Source organism: Homo sapiens, chromosome 13 (genome assembly GCF_000001405.40).
Source record: "Homo sapiens chromosome 13, GRCh38.p14 Primary Assembly".
NCBI classification, from domain to species: Eukaryota; Metazoa; Chordata; class Mammalia; order Primates; family Hominidae; genus Homo; species Homo sapiens.
In genome coordinates, this window is record NC_000013.11 from 19,657,571 (window position 1) to 19,683,107 (window position 25,537).

General features: G+C 42.9%; 2 protein-coding genes across 17 annotated transcripts in view; one reads left to right on the forward strand and one right to left on the reverse strand.

Annotated features, from left to right (window-relative positions):
* MPHOSPH8 (M-phase phosphoprotein 8) overlaps window positions 1–15,871 on the forward strand; it is a 39,783-nt gene extending 23,912 nt beyond the window's left edge. The window contains exons 6-14 of one of the 5 annotated variants that reach the window (XR_007063684.1): window positions 1,425–1,550; window positions 1,631–1,719; window positions 4,128–4,268; window positions 5,470–5,556; window positions 8,855–9,009; window positions 10,807–10,961; window positions 12,666–12,793; window positions 13,274–13,394; window positions 13,636–13,697. Coding sequence is in view for 4 of the 5 variants with exons in the window: in XM_047430395.1 (XP_047286351.1) it covers window positions 1,425–1,550; window positions 1,631–1,719; window positions 4,128–4,268; window positions 5,470–5,556; window positions 8,855–9,009; window positions 10,807–10,961; window positions 12,666–12,793; window positions 13,270–13,394; window positions 13,636–13,693 (1,064 nt within the window). In the remaining variant the exon portion in view is untranslated. Of the gene's footprint in view, window positions 1–1,424; window positions 1,551–1,630; window positions 1,720–2,581; window positions 2,746–4,127; window positions 4,269–5,469; window positions 5,557–8,854; window positions 9,010–10,806; window positions 10,962–12,665; window positions 12,794–13,269; window positions 13,549–13,635; window positions 13,720–14,263 lie in introns of those variants that run through there. The other 4 variants (NM_017520.4, XM_047430395.1, XM_047430396.1 and 1 more) reach the window with 4 other exon arrangements.
* Window positions 13,635–25,537, reverse strand: part of PSPC1 (paraspeckle component 1) — a 111,741-nt gene continuing 99,838 nt past the window's right edge. For 4 of the 12 annotated variants that reach the window (NR_003272.4, NR_156729.2, XR_941617.3 and 1 more), the window contains 2 exons: window positions 20,154–20,253; window positions 17,182–17,414 (listed from right to left, as the gene is read on the reverse strand). Coding sequence is in view for 4 of the 12 variants with exons in the window: in NM_001354908.2 (NP_001341837.1) it covers window positions 20,187–20,253 (67 nt within the window). In the remaining 8 variants the exon portion in view is untranslated. Of the gene's footprint in view, window positions 16,685–17,181; window positions 20,254–25,537 lie in introns of those variants that run through there. The other 8 variants (NR_044998.3, NR_149053.2, NR_149052.2 and 5 more) reach the window with 4 other exon arrangements.

Below are 25,537 nucleotides of genomic sequence, written 5' to 3' on the forward strand. Positions count from 1 at the left end.
AAAAAAGAAAAGAAAATCAAGCATATCAGGTCCAGAGGCAAGACCCACACTTGTCAGGAATGAACATGGGTTTTGAACCAGTTTGCTTTGTTAGAGACCACAATCTGAGCTGCAGCTCAGCCTTTCCAGTGGTTCTGGTCTAGGCATGCTCTCTGTTCTTACAGCAGTCCTGTGAGTTTGGTGGTATTATCTCAGTTCATAAAGACCTCATCTGTTCTGCTTCCACAATCTTTCCACATTGCTTCCTCAGTGGTGGGATGGGTCATGGGGCATAGCAGGTGGGGGCTTCATGGGGGACTCAGACACCTGAATAAGAAGACTGGCTCTGCCACTCACTGCTGTGTGTCTCTGAGCAAACCCTGGAGCCTCTCCCAGCCTCTCTCATCTGTAACATGTCTCCCCTTACAGGTTATTGTGTATGGAGGAAATAAATCCATTCATGTAAATAAGTTAACATGTCTTATGATTGCTAGTGGCTTTCACTATTACCATTGCTGATAGACCTGGGATGCTGCACCAGGATGGACAGCCCAGAGGCTGTGCTGTTTCTCTGCTGTCAGCTCTCAGAGTTAGCAGAAGTGTTAGTTTGAGTTGAGGGCTTTGGAAAAGTTCTTCATTTATTGCATATGTTTTACAAACTTTTTTTCTGTGGCCAGGCCATCTGCCTAACATCATCTATATAGTTTGAGGAACTGGTTTCAGGTGAAAATCCTTTAACTCTACCATCAAGTAGTTCTGTTTTTCACTTGTAAAAAAAGCACAAAACCATTGTGAATTACTCCCAAATGACCTGCACTGAAGTCTGTGTGATTGATTGCAGTGGTGATAAAGGCTGAACACATGCGTCCTCAGTGTTCCCGTGCCTGTAGGTCCTGTCGGGGAAGACTCTAGCAATACCTCACGGGGGTGGGTGTGGGCCAGGGCACTGGGAGCAGGAGGCTTCCAGATGTAGGGGCCTGTGGGAGTCTGGAAGGATCCATAAGCAGTGCCTTTGACTCACATGCTGGGATAGCTCACATGCTGAGAATGGCTTTATCTGTACATGGTTGGAAGCAGTGTATGTCCAAGAAGAATGGTGTAAGGGAGAAGAGTCACATTAGAATTGCATTTCCTCTTACCAGATCCCCGATCCCTCCTTCCTTTGAGCTACTTAGTCTTAAAATTCCTCCTTTGCTATTTTACAATGACAGCTTACCTATTTATCTTTATGCCTTCAGAGTACCATGGCTTCTAAATGTGGATCGTTCATATTACTTCCCAAAGAAAATTGGGGATTTTATCAATTAAAAGACCCCATTATACAATGACTTGTGTTAAAAGTGTACATAAAGCTTTGGTTAAGACACCACAAATTTCATAAACAACATTGTGGGTTTTTTATACTTCAGACAAATGTATGTTAACAAGGCTATTGTGTGTTCCAGATGGCAGGCAGCAGATTCTGAGTTTGGGCATGGACCTGCAGTTGGAATGGATGAAGTTGGAAGATTTCCAAAAGCACCTTGATGGGAAAGATGAGAATTTTGCTGCAACAGATGCAATTCCAAGTAGTGAGTAGTTTTGGAAATATTGAAATCCCTTTCACAAATCTAGATTTATAAAATCTAACTTATTTTTTCTTTCATTTTAGATGTGTTAAGGGATGCTGTGAAAAATGGGGATTATATTACTGTAAAAGTTGCACTTAATTCAAATGAAGAATATAACCTGGACCAAGAGGTAATATGTCGTTGAAAAATCTCATGAAAGGAAAATGGAAAGTAACACTTGAAAGAATTCAGTTTAACTTTTCATTTATTTTAATTACAAAAGGCTGGGCGTGGTGGTGCACACCTGTAATCCCAGCACTTTGGGAGGCCGAGGCAGGAGGATTGCTTGAGCCCAGGAATTCAAGACCAGCCTGGGCTCCATGGTGAAACCCCAACTCTACAAAAAATACAAAAATTAGCTGGACATGGTGGTGTACACCTTTGGTCCCAGTTACTTGGGTGGCTGAGGTGACAGGATCACCTGAGCCTGGGAGGTCAAGGCTGTGGTAAGTGGAGATCACACCACTGCACCCCAGCCTGGGCAACAGAGCAAGACTCCCATCTCAAAAAAAAAAAAAATAATGCACGTTCACTTTGTAAAATAAAAAAATTGTAGAACCCTATAAATGTACAATTATAGTCCCTTTAATTCCAACCCCCTCCCCTCTAAAAGTGATGGTTTGGTTTGGTTATGGTCTACCTGTTTTGTATGTGGTTTACCCTCTGCCACTCTTGAGAGCGTAGAGTGAGACCATTTTCCTGTGGTCATTTGTGTTTCTTTGATGGTTGTCCCATTTACAACAATGGTCCATCTCTCCTGTTGTAGCTGGGGATTTTTCATACTGATATGTATGGATTTTTTTTTTTTTTTTTTTTTTTTGAGACAGTGTCTCGCTCTGTTGCCCAGGCTGGAGTGCAGTGGTGTGATCTCAGCTCACTGCAAGCTCCGCCTCCCGGGTTCACGCCATTCTCCTGCCTCAGCCTCCCGAGTAGCTGGACTACAGTTGCCTGCCACCTCGCCCGGCTAATTTTTTGTATTTTTTTTTTTTTAGTAGAGACGGGGTTTCACCATGTTAGCCAGGATGGTCTCGATCTCCTGACCTTGTGATCTGCCTGCCTCCGCCTCCCAAAGTGCTGGGATTACAGGCGTGAGCCACCGCGCCTGGCCACGTATGGATTTTTTTAATGGAAGCATATTGACCCTTTCTCCCTAGATTTTAGGTTTGTGTTTGAGTCTTGTATTGCTTGAAGATTTTTAGTTTTAGGCAATCATATCTGTTGATCTTTTACATTTATGGCTTTTGGGTATCTTGTCTTGCTTAGAAAATATTTTTATATTCTTTAGTTTTTTAGCTTAGCTGTGGATTTTTTAGGTTTAATCCTTTGGGATTACAATTCACAAAATTATTGGGCTTTTGATTAAAATTGCATGAAATAATATAGATTGAGAATTGACATTTACTTTTTGCATCTTCTGTCTAGGAACATGGTAATTCTACATTCACTCAGCTCTTCATTTATATCCTTAAGCAAAGTTCTATGGGTTTTTTCATTCATATAGACGTTGCACATTTCCTATAGATGTATGCCTATATGTTTTATAATGGTCATTAGAGTCTTTTTTCATTTACATTTTGTTTTCTAACTGGTTATTGCTTGTCGATGGTAAAGCTGTGGATGTCTTTGTACACATAAGTGTGTGTAACTCCAGTCATTTAATGAAATTCTTATAGTTTTTAAGTTACTTGTTTTGGATTTTCTAGGTAGAAAATTTGATCGTATGCCCCCCAAAAATTCACTGTTCATTTTGTATGGTGCAAACTTTTCATGTGCCTTTAGGATTTAATACACAAAACAAAAAGAAGATACAAAAATGAGAGCTGGGCGTGGTGGCATGCACCTGTAATCCCATCTACTTGAGGCTGTGGCAGGAGGAATGCTTGAGCCCAGGAGTTTGAGACCAGCCTGGGCTGACATAGCAACACCGTCTCAATAAAAAAGAAAGAAAGAAAAACAACACCAACAAAAAAAATTGAAGCATTCCTTGGAGATATTGTGGGTTTGGTTCCAGACTGTTGGAATAAAGCGAGTCACACAAATTTGTTGGTTTCCTGGTGCATATAAAATTTAGGTTTACACTATACTGTAGTCTAAATGTGAATAGCATTACATCTTTTAAAAAACCTATATATCTTAATTTACAACACTTTATTGCTAAAAAATGCTGACACAACAACACAAAATGAGCACATGCTGTGGGGTAATGATGTGAATAAACGTGCTTGTGGCAGGGTTACCACAAACCTTCCCTTTGTAAAAAACACAGTCCCTGTGAAGTGCAGTAAAGCAAAGCTCAGTGAAACAAGGTAGGCCTATAGAGGAAAGTTGTAAAATTTTATGCAAACATTCATATGTGAAAAGATACTCTAAAAGCTAGTAGCTTCTGATGGTTGGGATATTTTAGTGAAAATCCTAAGTAGATGCCTAAATCAGTGCCTATTAGTGATTTCACATTGAAACATCTCGAGTGAGAAGACTTGGTTCTGAAATTGTTCTGACTAAAGATTAACACGTTTTTTATTTAACAAACCAACACAGGATTCCAGTGGAATGACACTGGTGATGCTTGCCGCCGCCGGAGGGCAGGACGACCTCCTGCGACTCCTCATCACAAAAGGCGCGAAAGTGAACGGTCGGCAGAAGAACGGGACCACCGCCCTCATTCATGCTGCAGAGAAGGTTTGTGGCTTCTTATGCATCAGTTTCAGAGCTTTCATGGTATTCCTGCCGATGGACTGAGAGGATCTCTTTGGTAGTGAAATATAGCAGTCACATGGTCACATCGCTTTTTTTTTTTTTTTAGACGGAGTCTCGCTCTGTCGCCGAGGCTGGAGTGCAGTGGCACGATCTCAGCTCACTGCAAGCTCCACCTCCCGGGTTCACTCCTGCCTCAGCCTCCTGAGTAGCTGGGACTACAGGCAGGTACCTGCCACCACACCCGGCTAATTTCTTTGTATTTTTAGTAGAGATGGGGTTTCACCATGTTAGCCAGGATGGTCTCGATCTCCTGACCTCGTGATCTGCCTGCCTTGGCCTCCCAAAGTGCTGGTATTACAGGCGTGAGCCACCGCGCCTGGCTGTCACACGGTCCCATAGCTTTTTAAAAATTTATTTTTAGAAATAAGGTCTCACTCTGTCACACAGGTTGGAGTGCAGGTGGCACCATCATAACTCACTGTAGCTTCAAACTCCTGGACTCAAGCAATCCTCTCGCCTCAGCCTCCCAAGTAGCTGGGACTAAGTGTGTACCACCACACCTGGCTAATTTTAAAAATTTTTGTAAAGACATGGTCTCACTGTGTTGCCCAGCCTGGGCTCAAGTGATCCTCCTGCCTCAGTTAAAGTGCTGGGATTACAGGCATGAGCCACCGCACCCAGCTGGAGTAACTTTTTAATTTTGTTTCAGTTGATCTGTGACATGTAATGAATGGATTTATCATCAGTAGTACATTGTAATCACATTTCAAAATGTGATTTATCTCGTTGGAAGTAATTTATATTAAAATACTCTGATTAAAGTACTAATATTTTAATCTTAGATAATTTAATTTTTTTGAATAAATGGTATTTGTATTCCTTTTGGTTAATAATTTAATTGAAATGTTTCCATATATTATCTTTTTAAAGGATTTATATGCAGAGGTTCTTAGGTTGGAGCTAGCGGTTCCATTCGCAGTTGCTGGCAGCACAGTGAGTGGCCACGTTTGGGCCTCTGTGGGGCGGGGTGCACCCCCGTGGCCCCACGGGAATGCTGCAGCCCGCAACCACTTGTGATAGAACCTGCTGGGTATTTTTCCTGATGACTAAAAATTTCAAAATATCTGAAAACTGTCTTTTAAATAATTTGGGAAATTAAATTTGCCTTTTTTTCTTTTCATAGAACTTTTTAACAACAGTGGCTATTCTTTTGGAAGCAGGAGCTTTTGTAAATGTCCAGCAAAGCAATGGTGAGACTGCACTGATGAAGGTAAATCCCTCCTGCAGGTCATCCCTTTCTTCACTACGTTGGCAGGTGCTCGTGTTGGCATCTGCCACTGCCAGGCACTGTGCTGGGGACTGAGAACAGAGTGGGTACCAAGACAGTCCTAGAGTCAGCCGCTTGCAGGGGAGAAGGAGAAGCGGGCTGGCAGGGTAGCAGTGAGAGCTCAGTATGGGCAGTGGTGTGATCAGAACAGGCACAGAGAGCCATGAGGTCACAGGGAAGTGCTCCGAGCTGGGCCCTGGGGACCCTGACAATCCTTAGGGTGGATGAGGCAGGTGCCACACTGTGTCCTAAATGGCAGTCAAGTCAGCCGGGAGGGAGCACTCCGGCCGCAGCTGGAGCAGCAGGGAGGCTGCTGGCCTCGAAAGTGCAGGCCTAGGGGTGGGACGGAGTTCCTCGTGCACTCTGTGTGTTCGTCATTTTATGTTGGTGAATTTGTTGCCTCGGGCTTGTTCCTGTGTTCTGGAACGTGGTTTGCAGACAGGTTTTGAGAGAAAGGTCAGCAGTTTGGCATTTGTCTTAGGGGGCCCTGCCAGGTCTGGTTGGTTCCTCTGTGGCAGTTGTGGGTTCCTGGCCCAGGATGCTGTTAGGATATAGCAGGTCCAGACACCCAGCCAGTGGTGGCCGGCTCAGCTCCCTGTGGGGACCTGTCCTCTTTCCTTCCTGGGATGCTTGGCTCCATGTAAGCCATTGAGCCAAGCGGGGGCCTGCCCACAGCGCCCATTCCAGCCGCTGTCCCCAGTAAGCAAAAGAGCACAGCCAGGCCCTGGGTCTGCAGGGCACCTGGCATCAAGTCTCACTGTGAACCCTCTTCTGATGGCCTGGACCACCTGTCCCTTGTCCTCCTGCTGCATGAGGCCCATAAACAGTCTCCTTCTGTCGCCCGGGCTGGAGTGCAGTGGCACCATCATGACTCACTGATGCCTTGGCTTCCAGAGCTCAAGTGCCTCCCTCAGCCTCCCGAGTAGCTGGGACTACAGGTGCGAGCCACCACACCCAGCCATTTTTTTTCTTATTAGAGACAAGGTCTCACTGTGTTGCCCAGGCTTGTCTTGAACTCCTGGCCTCAAGCACTTTCCTTTTGGTTCATGGAAATGTTCATTTTGTTTGGGAGCCTGAGGTTTGTCTTTGTTTCCCTTCATTTGTTTCTGTGGTTGTCTTGTGTGGAGCAGAGGTGGCCTCTGCAAGCATCATCTTAGTGACAGATGACCAGGTGTACCCTGAACTGCAGCCACGCAGGTGCATTTAGAGCATGAGAGAGGTGGGTGGGCACAGAAGCCCCCTTCATGCCAAGCCTTAGGGAGTTCGTCCTGAGGGCACTGGGGAGCCACAGCAAGGTTGAAGCTGAAGAAGGGTAGAATCGGATTAGAGGGTTTTCATTTGTGTATTTTAATGCTGCTTAGTACAGAAGGGGCATAGATTGAGAAGAAGATAGTTTGCAAACTTGTCAGGAGGGTCTCCAGATTATGTGAAATAACAGAAGTCTGTACCTCGGGAGTGGCAGGAGGGATGGAGTGGGTGAGGTGCCCACTTGGTAAGAGCTTGGTAACTGGAGGTGACGCCTGGGCATCCCATTTCCTAAGTTGGGGCACGGCTGGCAGAGCTGGGGGAGTTGGGCGTTGGGTCGTGTAGATGTCACCTCTGTACATTTCACAGGGGCATCTAGGCTCAGGAGAGAGGTGTGGGCTGGAGATTCAGGTTTGTTGCTGTCCAGCTCTGCAACAGTGACCGTAGCCATAGGTTGAGAGTGGGGTCATCCATGGGGAATTGGAAAGGAGAAAAGGGCCATAGATGGAAAGAGCCTGCGTGGGGAGAAGCAGAGGAGGAGGAGGAAGTGGTCCACGGGCTGGCAGCACCTCCCCCACACAGCAGGCAGAAGGCAGGCGGGAGTGCCCCAGGTCAGCACCTCAGGGCTGTGTGCCTTGCTGAGGTACGTGTGTTGAGTTGGGGAGTGGGGTGCAGAGGGGAGATGGCTCTGGAAGTGGGTTGGGGAGGGCGTGGCGTTTCTTCCCTGAGCGGACATGTAGCACTTATTTATTTTACTGGGTCTGAATTCAGTAGACTGCCTTTATCTGCCATGAGGTTTATTTAAGTGTTTGTTCCTGAAAAGCTGTATTTTAATTGCTTTCAGGATTTAGCATGTTGAAGTTTGAGTTTTAGAATGAGAAGATGTAAACATAGTGATTTTCAGAAATTAAAAACCTTTTTATCTGAGGAGAAAGTGTGTAACATTGGTCCTTACCAGAGTGGGCAGGTGCAGAGGGACTGCCCTCGCCTGTCACTGCAGGCTCTGTTGGTCCCAGAAGGGCCTCTCACCCTCCCCGTGGCTGTAATGTGGGCCACTCGCTCTGTCCCGAGCCTGTCCTGGACGGCGTCCCTAACCTCTGCACTGGATGCCCAGGGTAACAACCAGAAAGGTCTCAGGCATTGCCCAGGCTCCCCTGATGGCAGAGTTCCCCCTGCCAGAAGCACTGGATGACACCGTTGTCGGGGTAGTGTGGCGGCTCCTCCTAGGGCTGCGGGAGTGCCACCGCTCCTGGAGGCTGCTCTGCAAAGTGACGCTGCTGCCCCAGCATCTGCCTCACAGGGTAGGGAGGCACAGGCACCCTTATCCTCTTTTCGCAAATGGAAACGTGCCACTCAGAAGAATTAAGGGACTTATCTGAAGTCACGTGGCTAATAAGTGACAGAGACAAGGAGACAGTCTGTCAGCTGTGCCACAGCTCCATCGTACATTTGCAGGTTCAGATTCGGATCTGTGCTTGGGTTGTCTCCTTTAAAGCGGCAGCTGGGGACATTTCGAGGGTGTTTTGTGGTCCTGAGAGGTGTTTTTGAGATTCCTGAGACAAAGTTGTCTACAGTGAAGGCCAGGCTTACGTATCTCTGCGCCTCGCTGAGGGGCTGGCTCACGGGGGACAGCGTGGCATGGACAGAGGGCAGCAGCAGGGGACTGCTTAGCAAGGCCTGGTGTCTGTTCTGTCTTGGGACTGAAGCATCCTTTTTGAAGTTGCCCATTTCCTGAAAACTCAGTGCTAAGATATTAACTGAATGTAGCACACAGATTTTTATGTTGGCCCCTGAGTCAAAGATACTCCCCACTTGCATTTAAGCAATGCTGTGTGACTCCTAACGCTGTGGCCTGACGGGCCCCAAAAGTTCTCTATCCTTCTTCCATGGCCTGTGCCCTCTCTTCACAGAACCGCTAAGCATGTATGGAGAAGGGACCAGCACCCATGCCACAGTTTACAGCTAAGTAATTGTTACTCCTTTTTACCTGACGTAGGCCTGTAAAAGAGGAAATTCAGACATCGTACGACTCGTAATTGAATGTGGAGCTGACTGCAATATTTTGTCAAAGCACCAGAATAGTGCCCTGCACTTTGCGAAGCAGTCTAACAATGTGCTTGTGTACGACTTGCTGAAGAACCATTTAGAGACGTAAGTGAGAAGCGACTGTGCCATAGTTAAGTCACATATCATACATCTGTTTATGTAGACATATTATAATTGGAGTGGCCTGTGTGTAACTGCTCAGAAAAACATCCAGCACAAGTCCTGATGGTTTTGTTTCCAGTAGATCACAGATTTAATAAATGGCATATGAATTATTTTTCTGCAAGTTATTTAACTCTCAGAAAATTTCAAACTTAACACTGGCCTATCTGGGAGTATTTTCCTTAAATATTAAGTATGCTCTTAATTTGGTTAGCAAAGGTTTTCTTAAAAACATTTAAACTTGGCCGGGCGCAGTGGCTCACGCTTGTAATCCTAGTACTTTGGGAGGCCGAGGCGGGTGGATCACTTAAGGTCAGGAGTTTGAGACCATCCTGGCCAACATGATGAAACCCTGGCTCTACTAAAAATACAAAAATTAGCCGGGCGTGGTGGTGGGTACCTGTAACCCCAGCTACTCAGGATGCTGAGGCAGGAGAATCGCTTGAACCCGGGAGGCGGAGGTTGCAGTGACCTGAGATCACACCACTGCACTCCAGCCTGGGCGACAGAGCAACACTCTGTTTCCGCCCCCCACCACCAAAAAAAGAAAGAAACTTTAAACATTTGTCTTTCTTTTTAATAGACTTTATTTTTTGCAACACTTTTAAGCACAGCAAAGTTGAGCGGAGGGTACAGATTTCCAAGCCTCCCCACCGCCATCCTCCCCGACTGTCGAGATCCCAGTCACCCACAGTGGGACATACAGCTGGGGAACCTACAGGGACATGGCATAATCCCCTGGAGCGCAGCATTGACATTAGGGCTCACTCGTAGTGTTACCCATTCTATGAATTTGGACAAATACATAATGACATCCATCCCTCATCACAGTGTCATACAGAATAGTTTCACTGCCTTAAAAAGCCTGTGTTTTCCACCTTTTCATCCCTCCCTCCCCCAGCCCCTGACAACCACCAGTAATTTAATTCCTTCATATTTTGCCCTTTCCAGAACAGGTGGAATCACACATTATTTGGTCTTTGCAGGTTGGCCTCTTTCATTTAGCAATAGGCATTCAAGATTCCTTCCATGTCTTGATAGTGCATTTCTGTTTAGCACTGACTAATATTCTGTTGTTGGTTGTCAAGATTTACTAGTTTATTCAAGTTCATTCTTTTTCAAATAAATTCTCAATCATATTTTATTTTATTGCAGGTTCATACTTATAACACAATTTAGTATTTCTATCACTTAAGAACTCTTGGCAACACATATCAGAAACTTGCATGTATCAGACAGTAGCGAACTCAAGGCGGTGTTTATGTAGCAGGTCTCGGGTGGGCCTCTGGGACCGCGCCTGTTGAACTCAGTGCTGCTGATGGCTGCAGTCCCAACTCCTCTGGTCACACGGGGGGTTTGCATAGATCCAGCAAGTAGAGTGACCCACTTTCCTGATTTGCCCAGTACTGAGGGGTTCCCCTTTCTGATTTTCCACTGATTCATTAGACAACTATGTATTAAGCATAGACTTTGTGCCAGGCACTGTTCTAAAGGCTGGGGAGATGGAAATGGCAGTGGAGGGAAGAGACTTGCCTTCTTAGAACTTCAATTCCACTGAGATGGACAACAAGACAGACACATGGGTGTCAGGTGCTTGGTGGAAGTAGAGCTGGAAAGCGGAGGCAGGCAGAGCTGCAGGTCTTTGTTTGGAAGGTTGGCCTGGGAAGCCCTCACTGGTATTCGACAGGCTTGTGGTTCTTTTCTACATTAACGTTAACACGTACTATTTTTTTTTCTTAGACTTTCAAGAGTAGCAGAAGAGACAATAAAGGATTACTTTGAAGCTCGCCTTGCTCTGCTAGAACCAGTTTTTCCAATCGCATGTCATCGACTCTGTGAGGGTCCAGATTTTTCAACAGATTTCAATTACAAACCCCCACAGAACATACCAGAAGGTAAGCCGATGCCTCCCTTCACACTTTTCTATGTGAAGTGTGACACTATATTAACAGATTTTTAGACAGAATCCTTTCTTGGAACAAAACTTTAAGGAAATTCCATTACGTGTAATAATTCTGCAGACCGGTTAACAGTAGAGCCACTCTGGTGGAAGAGACATCCAGCTGACACCCCATCCCTGTTTTAACACCCATATAGAGCATGGAAGTTAGGTCTTAATAATCACACTAGTTCTCAATGAGTTTTATTAAAATTCAGCGTCAAGATTCTAAGCCTAGAATGTTTTTTCCCTGAATTTTGTTGTTTGTAATAGTCTTTGCCCTTTGAAAAAGAAAAAAATAGTCTTGCTCCATAGTAAAGCTGAGTGGAAAGAGATGGAGAAGCCACTTTCCTCTCTAGCCTCTGCTCGACAGACCCTCTCCAGGCAGGGCTGCGGCTGGCCCTCTCTACACGTGGCGCCAGGTAGACGTGGAGGCAGTGCAGTCTGCCGAGGGGAGGAAGCCGGGCTCTGGCTTTTTTTGCTTAGAAACTCCTGTTCCCCATTTTGTAAATGGTTTGTATTCATTCCTGGAAAATGTATTTAAGAACATATAGCCCTGCCCCTGAAAGAGCCGTTTGTAATATCTTAGTGTTGAGAGAACTTATCAGGTGGTTGCTGTTGTTTTGAGATGGAGTCTCCCTGTGTCACCCAGGCTGCAGTGCATGGCATGATCTTGGCTCACTGCAACCTCTGCCTTCTGGCTTCAAGTGATCCGCCTGCCTCAGCCTCCCAAAGTGCTGGGATTACAGGCGTGAGCCACCGTGCGCGTTCAGTAATTTATAGTTTTGATTATTCGGGTGGACCATCTGCATTGCCAGGTATGAGTACCAGAGAACGATGCCCTGAGCTGGCCCTGGTGAACCTGAGCCCCCACTGACACCTACAACTGCTGGGCCTGCAGTTTTCTCAGCATGTGTACAATGTCTGCATCCACCAACTTTTTTTTTTTTTTTTCAGGAGTCTCACACTGTTCCCCAGGCTGGAGTGCAGTGGTGCGATCTCGGCTCACTGCAACCTCCGCCTCCTGGGTTCAAGCAATTCTCCTGCCTCAACCTCCCGAGTAGCTGGAATTACAGGTGCCCACCATGATACCCAGCTAAATTTTGTGTTCTTAGTAGAGATGGGGGTTTCACCATATTGGCCAGGCTGATCTTGAACTCCTGGCCTCAAGTGATCTGCCTGCCTCTGCCTCCCAAAGTGCTGGGATTACAGACATGAGCCACCATGCCTGGCCAATTTTTGGTTATGTATTAATCAGAAAAATTGGAAGGGGCAAAAGGGTATGTGGAAGAAAATGGAAAACCACTCAGACCCACACCCAAAGATGCCCACCACAGGAATGTCCCTGGGACGTGTGCACATTCAGCAGCAGTGTTTAAATACCAGTTAAATAACTTCAGTGTAGAAAATCATACGTAAGTCTTTTCCAGGAACTGTCAGCAGAGATTACTTGGGCAAAAGGTAAAAAGAGTTCTGTGGTTGAAAAATGCCAGGTGACACGAGCTTTGAGAGGGCCAGCCTCCTCTGAGCCTCCAGGCAGAGTGGGTGATGCCTGTCTGACCAGGCCCAGCTCAGGGGCCTGCTTCCATCTGGTGTTGAGTGTTCCTCTGGGGACTGAAGGTTGCCTTTGAAGTAATTCACACACATCTCCCATTTTCAGGCTCTGGCATCCTGCTGTTTATCTTCCATGCAAACTTTTTGGGTAAAGAAGTTATTGCTCGGCTCTGTGGACCGTGTAGTGTACAAGCTGTAGTTCTGAATGATAAATTTCAGCTTCCTGTTTTTCTGGTAAGATACTCTGTATTTCACTACTGAAAAGTACATTCTTCTAATCAAAAGCACAGATGACTTAATTTTAAATTCCTGTGTCTTAATAAAATATAAGCATTCAGAAAACGATCCAGTAATAGTGGTTGGGAATGAGGCAATACCCATAAAGTAAAATTATCCTAAGTTTTGTCAGTAGGAATTTTTCCTGCTTATTTTTTGCCTTAAATTGTGCTCACCATACTGTCTTAGGGCCAGCATTGTTCTGAATATAAATACTTAATGATCTCAAAGATTCTTTGTACATAATTACTTTGCCACTGTTAGAATTATTTCCTTGGACTGAATTAAGCAAAATTTGCTAGATATAGACATTTTAACACTTGTACTGTATATTGCTGGGGGCATTCTAATCCAGTTTCCCAGATTGATTCTGTCATTTGTATATTTTTAATAAATCAAGGGAAAAATAAATCACTTTTTTTTTTTTTTTGAAGACAGGGTCTCGCTCTGTTGTCCAGGCTGGAGTGCAGTGGCGCGGATTACAGCTCACTGGAGTCTTGACTTCCCAGGCACAAGCAATCCTCCCACCTCAGCCTCCTAACTACCTGGGACTAAAAATGCACGCCACCACATCCGGCTAATTTTTTGTATTTTTTGTAGAGATGGGGTTTCACCATGTTGGCCAGGCTGGTCTCAAACTTCTGGGCTCAAGCGATTGTCCGCCTTGGCCTCCTCCACAACATCTTGACTTATGAAATAAAAAATAAAACTTATTTATGATTCTTTTACATCATTGGTGTTTTAAGGGCTTCTGGTGTAAGTTTGAAAACACTGACTTTTTTTTTCTCTTTCCATTGTAGGACAGTCATTTTGTTTACTCATTCAGCCCTGTTGCAGGTCCCAATAAACTCTTCATAAGGTTGACAGAAGCACCCTCTGCCAAGGTGACAGTCCTTTCTTCACATTTAGTGTCACTACTCAAGTTGTTGCTCCAGATTACTTTATCAACATTAGAAAAAAAATTCCAAGAATCCTGGTGTACCTGTCCTAGAGACAGGCACTCCCTGGGGTAGTGATGCTAGGTGCACCCTCTCTCAGTTTACAATGTGTTAGACATAATAATGCGGCAGGAAAAGAACTAGGTTGCAGCTGAGAAAGATGCCTCTCTAGAGGATGGAGCCATCTGAATCATGATCTAGGCCTTGGTATGGAGTTGCCAAATGTATGTCTTTAGGCCGGTCCCTAACCTCTCTTGTATGAAAGGAAGCTGGACAAAATAGTCTCTCTAATAAAACAGTAATATAAAATTATAAGCACTTGGAATTATTTCTTGAATTAAAATGGCAATGATCTAACAATGTAAATTGATAAGCAACTTGAAAATATTGCCAAATAATAGAAGCAAATCTTGGCCATTTGTGGGTTTTTTCTTGTAAGAAAGGGGAAATCTGGATCTGTACTGACACCTGCGTTCTTTTCTTTCAACAGGTTAAGTTGCTAATAGGTGCATACAGAGTGCAGCTGCAGTGACCAAACAGAAGGGACTGGGCGGAGTTCTCTTCAGACCGATTCCTATACTCTCTTTGACAGCAGTTTGGAATTCTTCTAGCACATCTATGTAAAGTTTTGTCTGTAAACCTCTTGCAGTTAAGCCTGTTGTCTGTTGTAGTCTGTAAGATGCGACATAGCTGTGTCTGTGCCAGTATGCCGGAATCTCAGTGCAGTGTCCAGACTGCGTATTTCAGTTTTTCCACAATGTGGATAGTACATATGAGGATTATTTAAGAAAATTAAAGACTTCACTTTCTTTTTTCTGGAGACGGAGTTTCGCTCTTGTTGCCCAGGCTGGAGTGCAATGGTGCGATCTCGGCTCACTGCAAGCTCTGCCTCCTGGGTTCAAGTGATTCTCCTGCCTCAGCCTCCTGAGTAGCTGGGATTACAGACACCCGCCATGGCACCCAGCTAATTTTGTATTTTTAGTAGAGATGGGGTTTATCCATGTTGGTCAGGCTGGTCTTGAACTCCTGACCTCAGGTGATCCGCCCGCCTCGGCCTCCCAAAGTGCTTGGATTACAGGCATGAGCCACCGCACCCAGCAAGAGTTATTTTCTTAACTTGAAATTTTCTACTAGCCCTGGTGAACTTCTGTGCTTAAAAAAAAAAAAAAAAAAAGGAAAAATTCAGCTCTAAAACATTTGCTTACAGCAAGGGAGCCATGTTATATTCAAGTTACCCAAGCACCAAATAAAGTGTGGGTTTGCTGCCCTTGAAAGGGTTGGGAGGCCTGATCTTTTTCTAGTAGACAGTTGCCACACATTCCCCAAGCACAAAAGGTGGAGATGGCAGTCACTTTGTAAATATGCTGTAGTCACTTATCATCTTTTCAAAGGGTAACAAGAGAATCTAAGATGTAGTAAGAATGTAAACCAGTACACTATGAGACCTAAAAGAGAGTATTAAATGTGAACTTTTAGCAGAGCGTGGTGGCTCACACCTATAATCCCAGCGCTTTGGAGGCTGAGGTTGGAGGATTGCTTAAGTCCAGGAGTTCAAGACCAGCCTGGGTAACATGGGGTGGAACAAGCCTGTAGTCCCAGATACTCAGGAGGCTGAGGTGAAAGGATTGCTTGAGCCAGGGAGGTCAAGGCTGCAGTGAGCCGTGAAAGGCCACTGCACTCCAGCCTGAGTGACAGAATGAGACCTTGTCTCAAAAAAAAAAAAAAGTTTCTTGGAACCTATACGGTTTTTTTTTGTTTTTTTTTTTTGAAAAGCCAGACCTTGTGCCCTTGTTTTGAACACCGACTGGGAAGATGGGGCTTAGGTAACAGCCAAACCTGGCTGTCAGCTGTGTGGGAGCCACCACCCTCTCTGGGAAGAGTTCCTGCTTCTGTATGGCAAGCATAAATCAAGCTCAGTCTGGGTTATGGAGAAGTTGAAAATTGTTTTGTTCCTCATTAGTTTATAATTGTATGAAATACGATTTTAATGAAAACTTTTCAGAATTCACGTTTGTGTAGATATTTCAGAGAACCATTTTTACTTTACATCCTAAAACTGCCTTTTCCTATGGTTTTGTCAATAAAACACTATGATGTTGGTCTGTTTCCTTTTATATCTCAAGTCTCAAAACTTTAAAAGACAGTAGATATTTGTGGTTTTCTAGCTAAATGAGGGCCAAGATTGGACTTTTTCAACTAAATTGAATCATGTAGTATATCTGATTTCATAGCTTTCTGGGGGAAAAGGGAGGATTTGAATTAGCAGCAGTGCAGGTCAGGAGCAGTAAAGAAGACAGTAGGAGGAGTCCAACTATAGATGTGAATGAACAGCCTCAGAGGAACACATGAGAAGGTGACCTGCTGTTTATCAGGAAGGCGGGGCTTTCTCTCTAAGATACAAACCAAATAGGAATCGTCAAATAGTTCAAATTATCCGGGGGAAAAAGCCTGAGCAATGATCCCTCTGGAAAACAAAGCAGTTCTCAGGCAGCACCTTACCAAAAGGTTTATTATAACATTTAGAAGTACAGGTCAAGGCCCAGGGCAATGTTGTGTAGTGCAGTTCAAGTGTACGCAGCACAGCTTATGTGACTGAGGACACAGACCTAGTCATGTCCGGATCTCCTAGTCTTTTCCCCTGGAAAGCTACGAAGTCAGATGATATGGTACTAGTACATGATTCAGTTCGTGGCCTAGGACATAGGTGATCTCAGGACTAAGATCACCACAGATGGGATGCATGGCTGTGGCCAGACTCGCATCATGGCCTCTGCCATTATTCCTTTCCACTGTCTACTTGGGTAAGGACAACATAACTTGGCTATTCAATTAACTTACCAGCGGCAGCACTCAAATCTAGTTGACTGTAATGGCTGTAGCAGAAAGTACATTCCACGTCCTTTTGTCTGTTCTGCCAAAATAAATAGGGATTCTGATAATGTTGAATAACTACAATTAGATATGAGGAGTTTGGTTTCAGTCCAGAAATAGAAAAACTATTCCATTTTTATACACTATCCTCGCAAGTAAATCCTGTATTGATTCTTAAATGTGGAGAATCTTACTCAGTAGAATGATCAGGAGAGTCTATTTGAAGCTCAGGTGCTACTTCTGAGTGAGTTCCGCTTGTACTGCATTGTATGCATTATACTGGGTAGCTTTGAAAGTGAAGCACCCTCCCAAACGAAGCTGACTGTTTGTTTGTTAATGAGAATATACTAGTGCTGGCCAGGCTTATAAGGCACTCAGCATGTGAACCAGGGGCCTGATGAAGCACACACCATGAAAGGCTGGATTGGATGCCCAGAATGAAAACAGTGGAGCTCAAGGAGGATGATTAGCAAAACAAGGAAAAGCAGGAGACATAGAGCAGACTATGAAAAACCTGGGTCACAAAATGACAAAGGCTAAAGAAGTTCGAAATGTTTAATATTTCATGCAGTTAACATGCTTCAAAGCTTTAAGTCTGAAGTTTTAGACTTATCCCAAATCCTTGCTAAGAAGTCAAGACCACTATGGAATTCACACTGCTTTCTATAGACTTCCACTGACTTGCAGCTAATGGTCCTTACACAGCAAAGTTGGGATTTCTAGACGTCTCCTTCCAGGTTCGGAAAAGCCTCACTAGGCAAGTGGCAAGACTGTGAAGACAATGAAGGTTCAGAATTCAGTCAAATGGAAACAAGATCAGGAAACAAGATCAAGGACTCATCTGTCCGCCTGGCACCACTTTAGTTTTGAAGGTGACGCCACCACGCATCCCCGCAGCACACACTCCTTCCTGTGCCGACTCCCGCTATTTGCTTGCCTGAGCCAGTTCATGTTTCAGTAAGAACGATTTTTCTCCCAACAGTGCCAGTTTTCTTATTCCCAATTTTGAGAGTTGACCCAAAATTGTGGGCTATGAGGGATGGTTTTTAAAACTCCTCTAATGGTTCCCAGGCACAGAGCGTTGAAAAGGAGGGATTTCTTGGCTATTCTGAATTTGTGCATTGCTGCCATACTACTTCCCAACACGAACCAGCAAGACCACCACACCAAGGAGTGGGTAACATCTTGATTTAATTTACAAATAAAAAGCCAAAACCCTCAATGCAAAGGAAAACTGCAGTTTACACTTATTCTGGAGATCATTTTTAACCACAGAAAATGTGCCCCTGTAGCATGTTTTTAAATGGCAAGTGCTATGATTGCCCAGACATCCATAAACTGCTTGTATGGAGTAAGAAATTCATAAATGAAGAAAGATTTGTTTTCTGTCTTGTTTCTCCTAGGTCACGAACAGGATATTTCCCACAAAATGTTTTGACCTGGAAAAGAGACAGAGTCTTCACTAGTAAACAGGATCTAATCTCCATAGTATATTTTTCTAAAGAAACAAGAGCTTTCAGTCCTAAAGTAATTTGCTAGACTAGAATCACTGACCAGCAGACCTAAATTCAAGCTTCAATATTAAGATTGTTGATGGAGGAAACTGTCATGGAAATGGCAATTTCTTAACTCTTTATAATAAAAGCAGATTCAATGTCACAAGAATTAAATATTTGGCCTTTTAATAATTTTACTTTCTTTACATGTTTCTGGAGTGAACCTCGGTTACTTTTCACTGACTTTGTTAGAAAGCAAAATCTATAAAAGGAGTTACTTTAACTGAAGTAACAGTATTCACATATTTTAACCAAAATTTTAAAATCCTAAAGTTCCAATGACAAATCTACCTGATAAGCTTATAGAATCTCTCTCCCCTTCTCTCTTTGAAGGCCACAGAATGCCACAGGCTTGATCTATGCCACAGACAGCTTATGTACACAATTTTTTTTCCTTTCCCATATATTTCCTTACCCATATATGAGATTCGTTCTTTGGATTTTCAGATACCTACATAATACAGCAATTTAAAAGTTTAACTTCAATAAAATCTCCATAGACTAGAAAATTATTCTCTAGTTTCCATCCTCAAAATTTCTGTTGCATAGGCTGAGGGTGTGGCTTGAGAATGTGCATTCTGAAGCTCCCAGATGGCGATGCTGCTGGTCTAGGCCTGAGAACCAAAGCCTGAGATTTAACTTTCTAGAGCTGGGTACAGTATGCAAAACAGCTGTCACATTTTTGTGCTGCATGAGGTGTCAGATACTTTGAAAAGGTATAATTTCTCAAAACTACAGAATACATCAGTGCATCTCAAACCAAGTGCACACAAATCCTAGAAAGAAACGTCTTCATTAGTACACAGGACCTAATCTTCACAGTTAAAACGGACTTTTTGACTTGCAGGACTCTGTGTCCTGTGTGGGAGACACTTCATTTCCAAGAAGCTCTCAGGCAACACTGTCACTCCTAGTCCCCAGAACCACTTGTAGCAGCAAGAATAAGACACAATAATGTTTAGTATCACCAGACAAAAGCTAGAAAAGACATACACTTAATACTTTCTGGATCTATTAGGATGACAATGTACCCATGGGAATTTTGTCATAAAGACTGCATTAATGTTTCAATAATATTTTAAGAGTGACATAACAAAAGAACCGAAAAATTGTGACCCCTCTCCGAAAAAGTAAAAAGCAGAGGAGGAGGAATGGATCCATTTTTAAGATTACATATTTTCTGGCCGGGCACAGTGGCTCACGCCTCTAATCCCAGCACTTTGGGAGGCCGAGGCGGGTGGATCACAAAGTCAGGAGATCGAGACCATCCTGGCTAACACAGTGAAACCCCGTCTCTACTAAAAATACAAAAATTAGCCGGGCATGGTGGCAGGCGCCTGTGGTCCCAGCTACTCGGGAGGCTGAGGCAGGAGAATGGCATGAACCCGGGAGGCAGAGCTTGCAGTGAGCCAAGATCGTGCCACTGCACTCCAGCCTGGGCGACAGAGCAAGACTCCGTCTCAAAAAAAAAAAAAAAAAAGAGATTACATATTTTCCAAAGGAACACAAGTTTAAAATTCTAGGTTTGGAGGTCATTAAAAATCAACAGGAAATTTTTTTACAAAGACCTTTTTTTTCTCTCTCCTCACTCCAAGACCTCTATGTCATTTCCCCTCTTAGTCATTTCCCCTCTTAGTCCAGTTTTACCTGAAGACAAATTAATATACGCATTACACCAGTGAGGAAAGAGGAGGGCAAGGCGAAGCTGAGAGTCCCCTCTAGCCTTGCTGAGATATGATGCCAGGGTTTCCTACGAAGACAGGCCAAGCTATAGAGGCTTCAGCTTCACCTATAAACTGTTCATAAATATTCTACTGACTCAAAACACTGGGACCATTACATATCTTCATTACAGTCCACAGAATCAGAATCAGGAAGAATTGACTAGAAAAAACTAGGAAGAAACGAATACTCAAGGATCTGTTAGAAAATAATGAGCAGATACGGACTGACCTGAAAGGAAGTATGATTCCAGTACTTCTGGTCTTAACTCTTCTGAATTACACTGCAAGCTGAACTTCGGGTAACTTCAGCCACATTTTCTTTTATCACCCTAGAAATACAATGAAATCAGATTCAGCCTTTTTAAGAACTGATTTCAATAAACAATGAGAAAAATCAGAGTTAACTCATTTAGTAAATTCATAACAGTAATTGAGGTTTCGATACCATGTAGTGCTGCGTGCTGATTATTTCCATTCAGTAAGGATTTTCTTTTTAATTCAAAATACTCTCCATTTCCTCAAAGAACATCAACTGAATTAAAATCAGCTTCATTTTATCTTCTACAGTAAACAGTATTAAGTCCTAAATACCAAATAATTTTCAGATCTGCTAATAATTTATTAAGAATTTAATTGGCTAAGTCCCTCCTTATTTCCACAGGCCCTCTTGTACAGATTGTTGATACCTCAGCACAACACAGCTTGAAACCTTGTATTGCAAAATCCCACAAAGGATCCTCACTCCCACTGTGTCTGCAAAACCGTATTCCACTTGTACCAAGGCAGGGAATACCAATGTGTGTGTCGTGCTCCATCAGAAAAAGACTCTTACCCTAGTAAGACCTTGATCAATGTTCTTCAAAGAGCACATACCCAAAACATTTCAATAGAGGACAGGTTTATGTGTACAGTTATCCTTATATATGTTTTATAATATGCCTGAAATATTCATACAGTCATACACAATTGCATTTTGGGACACATAAACATACAGCTGTGTGCTCAATTTTCAACTGTTGGGGGTCCATGATCCAAAAATATTGGAAATCATTACCCTAGATCAGTGTTGTTAAAACCCATTTGGGACTCAATTTGCCTGAGAATTGGATGAAGCCCAAAACTGTCCCCCCAGAAAGTATATGTGAAATATGTATGCAGAAACTGTAGACAAGACTGCCTGCAAGTAAAGGGGATCCACAGATACCCTAATGCACCCCAGTAACCCAAGAGGACCCATGGGGTCCCTATAATCAAATCTTTGGAGTTTTTGTTTTTGTTTTGAGAGAGGGTCTCACTTTGTCACCCAGGCTAGAGTGCAGTGGCGTGAATACAGATCACTGCAGCCTCATCTTCCCAGGCTCAAGCAATCCTCCTGTCTCAGTCTCCCAGGTAGCTGAGACTACAGGTGCGCACCACCACACCCAGCTAGTTGTATTTTTTGTAGAGATGTGATTTTGCCATGTTGTCCAAGCTCGTATGGAACTCCTGAGCGCAGGCAATCCTCCAGCCTTGGCTTCCCAAAGTGCTAGGAATACAGGTGTGAGCCAACATGCCTGTCCTGTAAGTATTTTTTAAAACAAGGCATGGCATAAATGAACAAAAAATTATTTTTTATATATTTCCACCAGCAATTGGCATTCTATCTACTCTTGTATGCAAGCTCTGAATTTATAGACTCTGTATCCTTATATTCACCATGGATTGAAAATGCAGTTAGAAGCCAGGTGCAGTGGCTCACGCCTGTAATCCCAGCACTTTGAGAGGCTGAGGTGGGCAGATCACTTTAGTCCAGGAGTTTGAGAAGAGCCTAGACAACATGGCAAAGTCCCGTCTCTACAAAAAAATACAAAAATTAGCCACACGTGGTGGTACATGCCTGTAGTCCCAACTAATTGGCAGGCTGAAGCAGAAGGATCGTTTGAGCCCACGATGTGGAGGTTGAAGTGAGCTGAGATCACACCACTGTGCTCCAGCCTGGGCTACAGAGCAAGACCCTTTCTCAAAAAAAAAGGAAGAAAAGAAAATGTAGTTAGGCCCCGAGTGGTTGTGTCTATACTGAACATGTATAGACTTTTTTCCTTGTCATTATTCCCTAAACAATATAGCTCCATAGCATTTACACTGTATGAGGTATTATAAGCAACATATAATTTAAAGTATACAGGAGGATGTACATGGGATATGTGAAATACTACAGCATTTTATATCAGGAACTTCAGGATCTGCAGATTTTGATATTCATGGGGGCAGAAGCAACCTCCCAGGAAATGGAGGAACAACTGTTTATGCCTTTGGTACAGTAAAGGCTGACAATAAAAATAAACAGAACCATAAACCAAACTGGACAACAGTGTCACTTAATCCTTCTCAATAACATCAGGATTACTAAAAACTTTAAGCATTCTCAGCTTCTCAAATATGTGAATACTCAATTTATAAACCATTACTAAAACCTAGAAAAGTAATTTCCAGAATTTAGCCAAGTTTTAGTTGTCAATATTTAATTTCAATTTTTAAATTTTTATGTATTTATTTATTGAGGTGGAGTCTCACTCTGTCACCCAGGCTACAATACAGTGGGGTGTTCTCGACTCACTGCAACCTTCACCTCCCAGGTTCAAATGATCCTCCTGCCTCAGCTGCCCAAGTAGCCGGGACTACAGGCGCACACTACCGCGCCCAGCTAATTTTTGTATTTTTAGTAGAGATAGGGTTTCACCATGTTGGCCAGGCTGCTCTCGAACTCCTGACCCCAGGTGATCCACCAGCCTCAGCCTCCCAAAGTGCTGGGATTATAGGTGTGAGCCACCATGCCCGGCCCAATATTTAATTTTTAAAAGGGTCATTTTTTCTTATTACTTCTATTCAATATTTGAAAAATTACTAGAGTTCTGTTTAAACTGGTCTTACAAAAAAAGTGACAAGGCTGATTGTACATTGCATTGTAATCAACCCTAATAAAACCATCACAATGAGCTACTACACATCTATTCAATGATACTCATAATTTGGATTTCAAAATATGCGAAGTCCTAGAAAGCTAAGACAAAGACAGCACTTAATACTTCCTCATTCTGAAGAACAGCATCTCCATCAAAGTGATACTGCCTAATATGAAAAAAAAACCAATAATCAAATTAAAAGAAAAGGTCTCCCTTAAGTGAAATCCTAAAAGTATAACTGTAACAACTATATGACACCATCTTGAACACAGGTGGTCTGTCTTTAATTTCAGAATAAAATTGGGTCACTAAGAACTACCCACACATTAACGGGGGATTTTATCCTCATGCCAAAACATTTAAACAAAAGCGAGTGAAAAAGGCCCCTCTAACCACCCCCTAAGATTGAATGGAGACATTTTTCACATAGTCAGAAATGTAAACAGTCAATACCACACATACTTTTCTATGACTTAAAGAATAAAACATTAAAATACAAGGCCGGGCACGGTGGCTCATGCCTGTAATCCCAGCACTTTGGGAAGCTGACACAGGAGGACTGCTTGAGGTCAAGAGTTTGAGACCAGCGTGGGCAACATAGCAAGATGACTCTACAAAAAATGTAAAAATTAGCTGAGTGCGGTGGCACACACAGGTCGTCCTGGCTACTTGGGAGGCTGAGATGGGAGAATCACTTGAGCCCAGGAGCTCAAGGCTGCAGTGAGCTATGATCAAGCCACTGCACTCCAGCCTGGGTGACAGAGTGACACTCTATCTCTAAAAAAGAATAAAATAAAATGTAAAGATATTTTTAAATACAGAAGCCCCATTCTTTTGAGAATGGTAAACTATGTGATAATGGATGTAACATTCTCCCAGCCTTTGAGTAAAAGAAGATACTCTTTTCCCTGAAGACACAAGATCTACTATTATTCATGTATTACATGTTATATATTATGTAATATATAAATTATATATAATAGAAGTAAGTCCTAAGGAATGAATGTATAAAATACACATAATATATGATCTAATGAGCATGGAAGCTGAGCTGTTCAAATTACAACATACGAATTGTAAAACTTGAAGAAACAGGATTTTAACAATGGCATATGTTGAAAGATGCCTAAAAGGCAAGGATTTCCTGTGAGGCAGACACCTGTTGTGCTGAGCCACAGGGACCAGCATTCTTTTAACCAGATGTTCACTGTTCAACAGCAGGGTTTCCTTTCGGAGAAAGGTATGCTCTGAAGTCTGCAGATTTTGGTGGGGTAGGGATTTCCATGTTATCTAACATAACCACCAGAGAAATCTTATACCGAGGAGTGTTTACAACTGAATATGATCCTTTGCCTTCATGACAAAGGCACAGACCACAACACTGGCTGCTACAGCAATAAAGAAACTAAATGCTATTACAAGCAATTCATAGCTGTCAAAATATACAGGATTACCTTTCACCAAAGCTGCTCTATTCTACTGTTAACTGTAAGATTCTCTTTAAGCAACAAAGAATGTATTTTCAACAGACAGTATAAAGAAATAGTGAAGACTCAGTGAATGATATAGCAAAAGAATAAGGCAAAAAATTCAAAAGCCAACATTTTCCAAGAAAACTTGAGAAAATGACTATGAAAGCAACAAACATGAAAGAACTTGACAACAGATCCACAAGGTCAAACTAATTTTGATGTAATATAACCTCAATAGATGAACAAATTATTTAACATATTAAAATATAATTTCAGTTAATTGGACAACTAGATGATGTTTTAATAAAAAAGTTGTATCTTTCAGCTGATATTTTGTAAGAAGCAAAAATCTGTAATATGAACATTCAATTCTGGATTCCCAATATCATCTGGCTTTTCAGAATTCTAATAAAGCTATCTATGTTTAAACTCATTTTTACATTCACAGATTATACATAGGTCAATGAGTTTTAACATCAAATGGCAATGAAACCACAGAAGCTAGTTAAATAGCAATATGGGTGTACGGTGATCAAAGAAAAAGCAGGAGTACTTTACAAAGCAGGTGGCTGAATGGCAAAAAAAAAAAAAAAAAAAAGCAGTATATAAAGGGTACTCAACATCAGAAGTTATCGGAAAATGTTCACAACGTCAGGCTCACTAAAAAAAGTTATGAGGAAAAGCAAATTAAAACCACAATGAGATATATTCACTAAAATGGCTAAAATTAACATGACTGACAGTATGGAGTGTTGTCAAGGATGCGGAGGAACGGAAATCTTATACATTGTTCATGGGAAAAGAAAACAGGACAGGCACTTTAGAAAATTACTTGGCAGTTTCTAAGAAACATATTAATAGAACCTGCCCTAGACTGACAGTATGGCTCACAGGTATAATCCCAGCATTCTGGAAGGCCGAGGTGGGAGAATCACTTGAGCCCAGGAGTTCAAGACCAACCTGGGTAACATAGTGAGAGACCCTGTCTCTCACTAAAAAAAAAAAATAAATTAGCCAGATGCAGTGGCACATGCCTGTATTCCCAGCTACTCGGGAGGCTGAGACTGGAGGATGGTTTATGCCCAGAAGCTCAAGGCTGCAGTGAGCTATGATCGCACTACTATACTCCAGCCTGGGTGACAGAGTGAGATCCTGTCTCAAAAGAAAAAAAGAAAAAGAAAGAAAGAAAGAAACTGCCC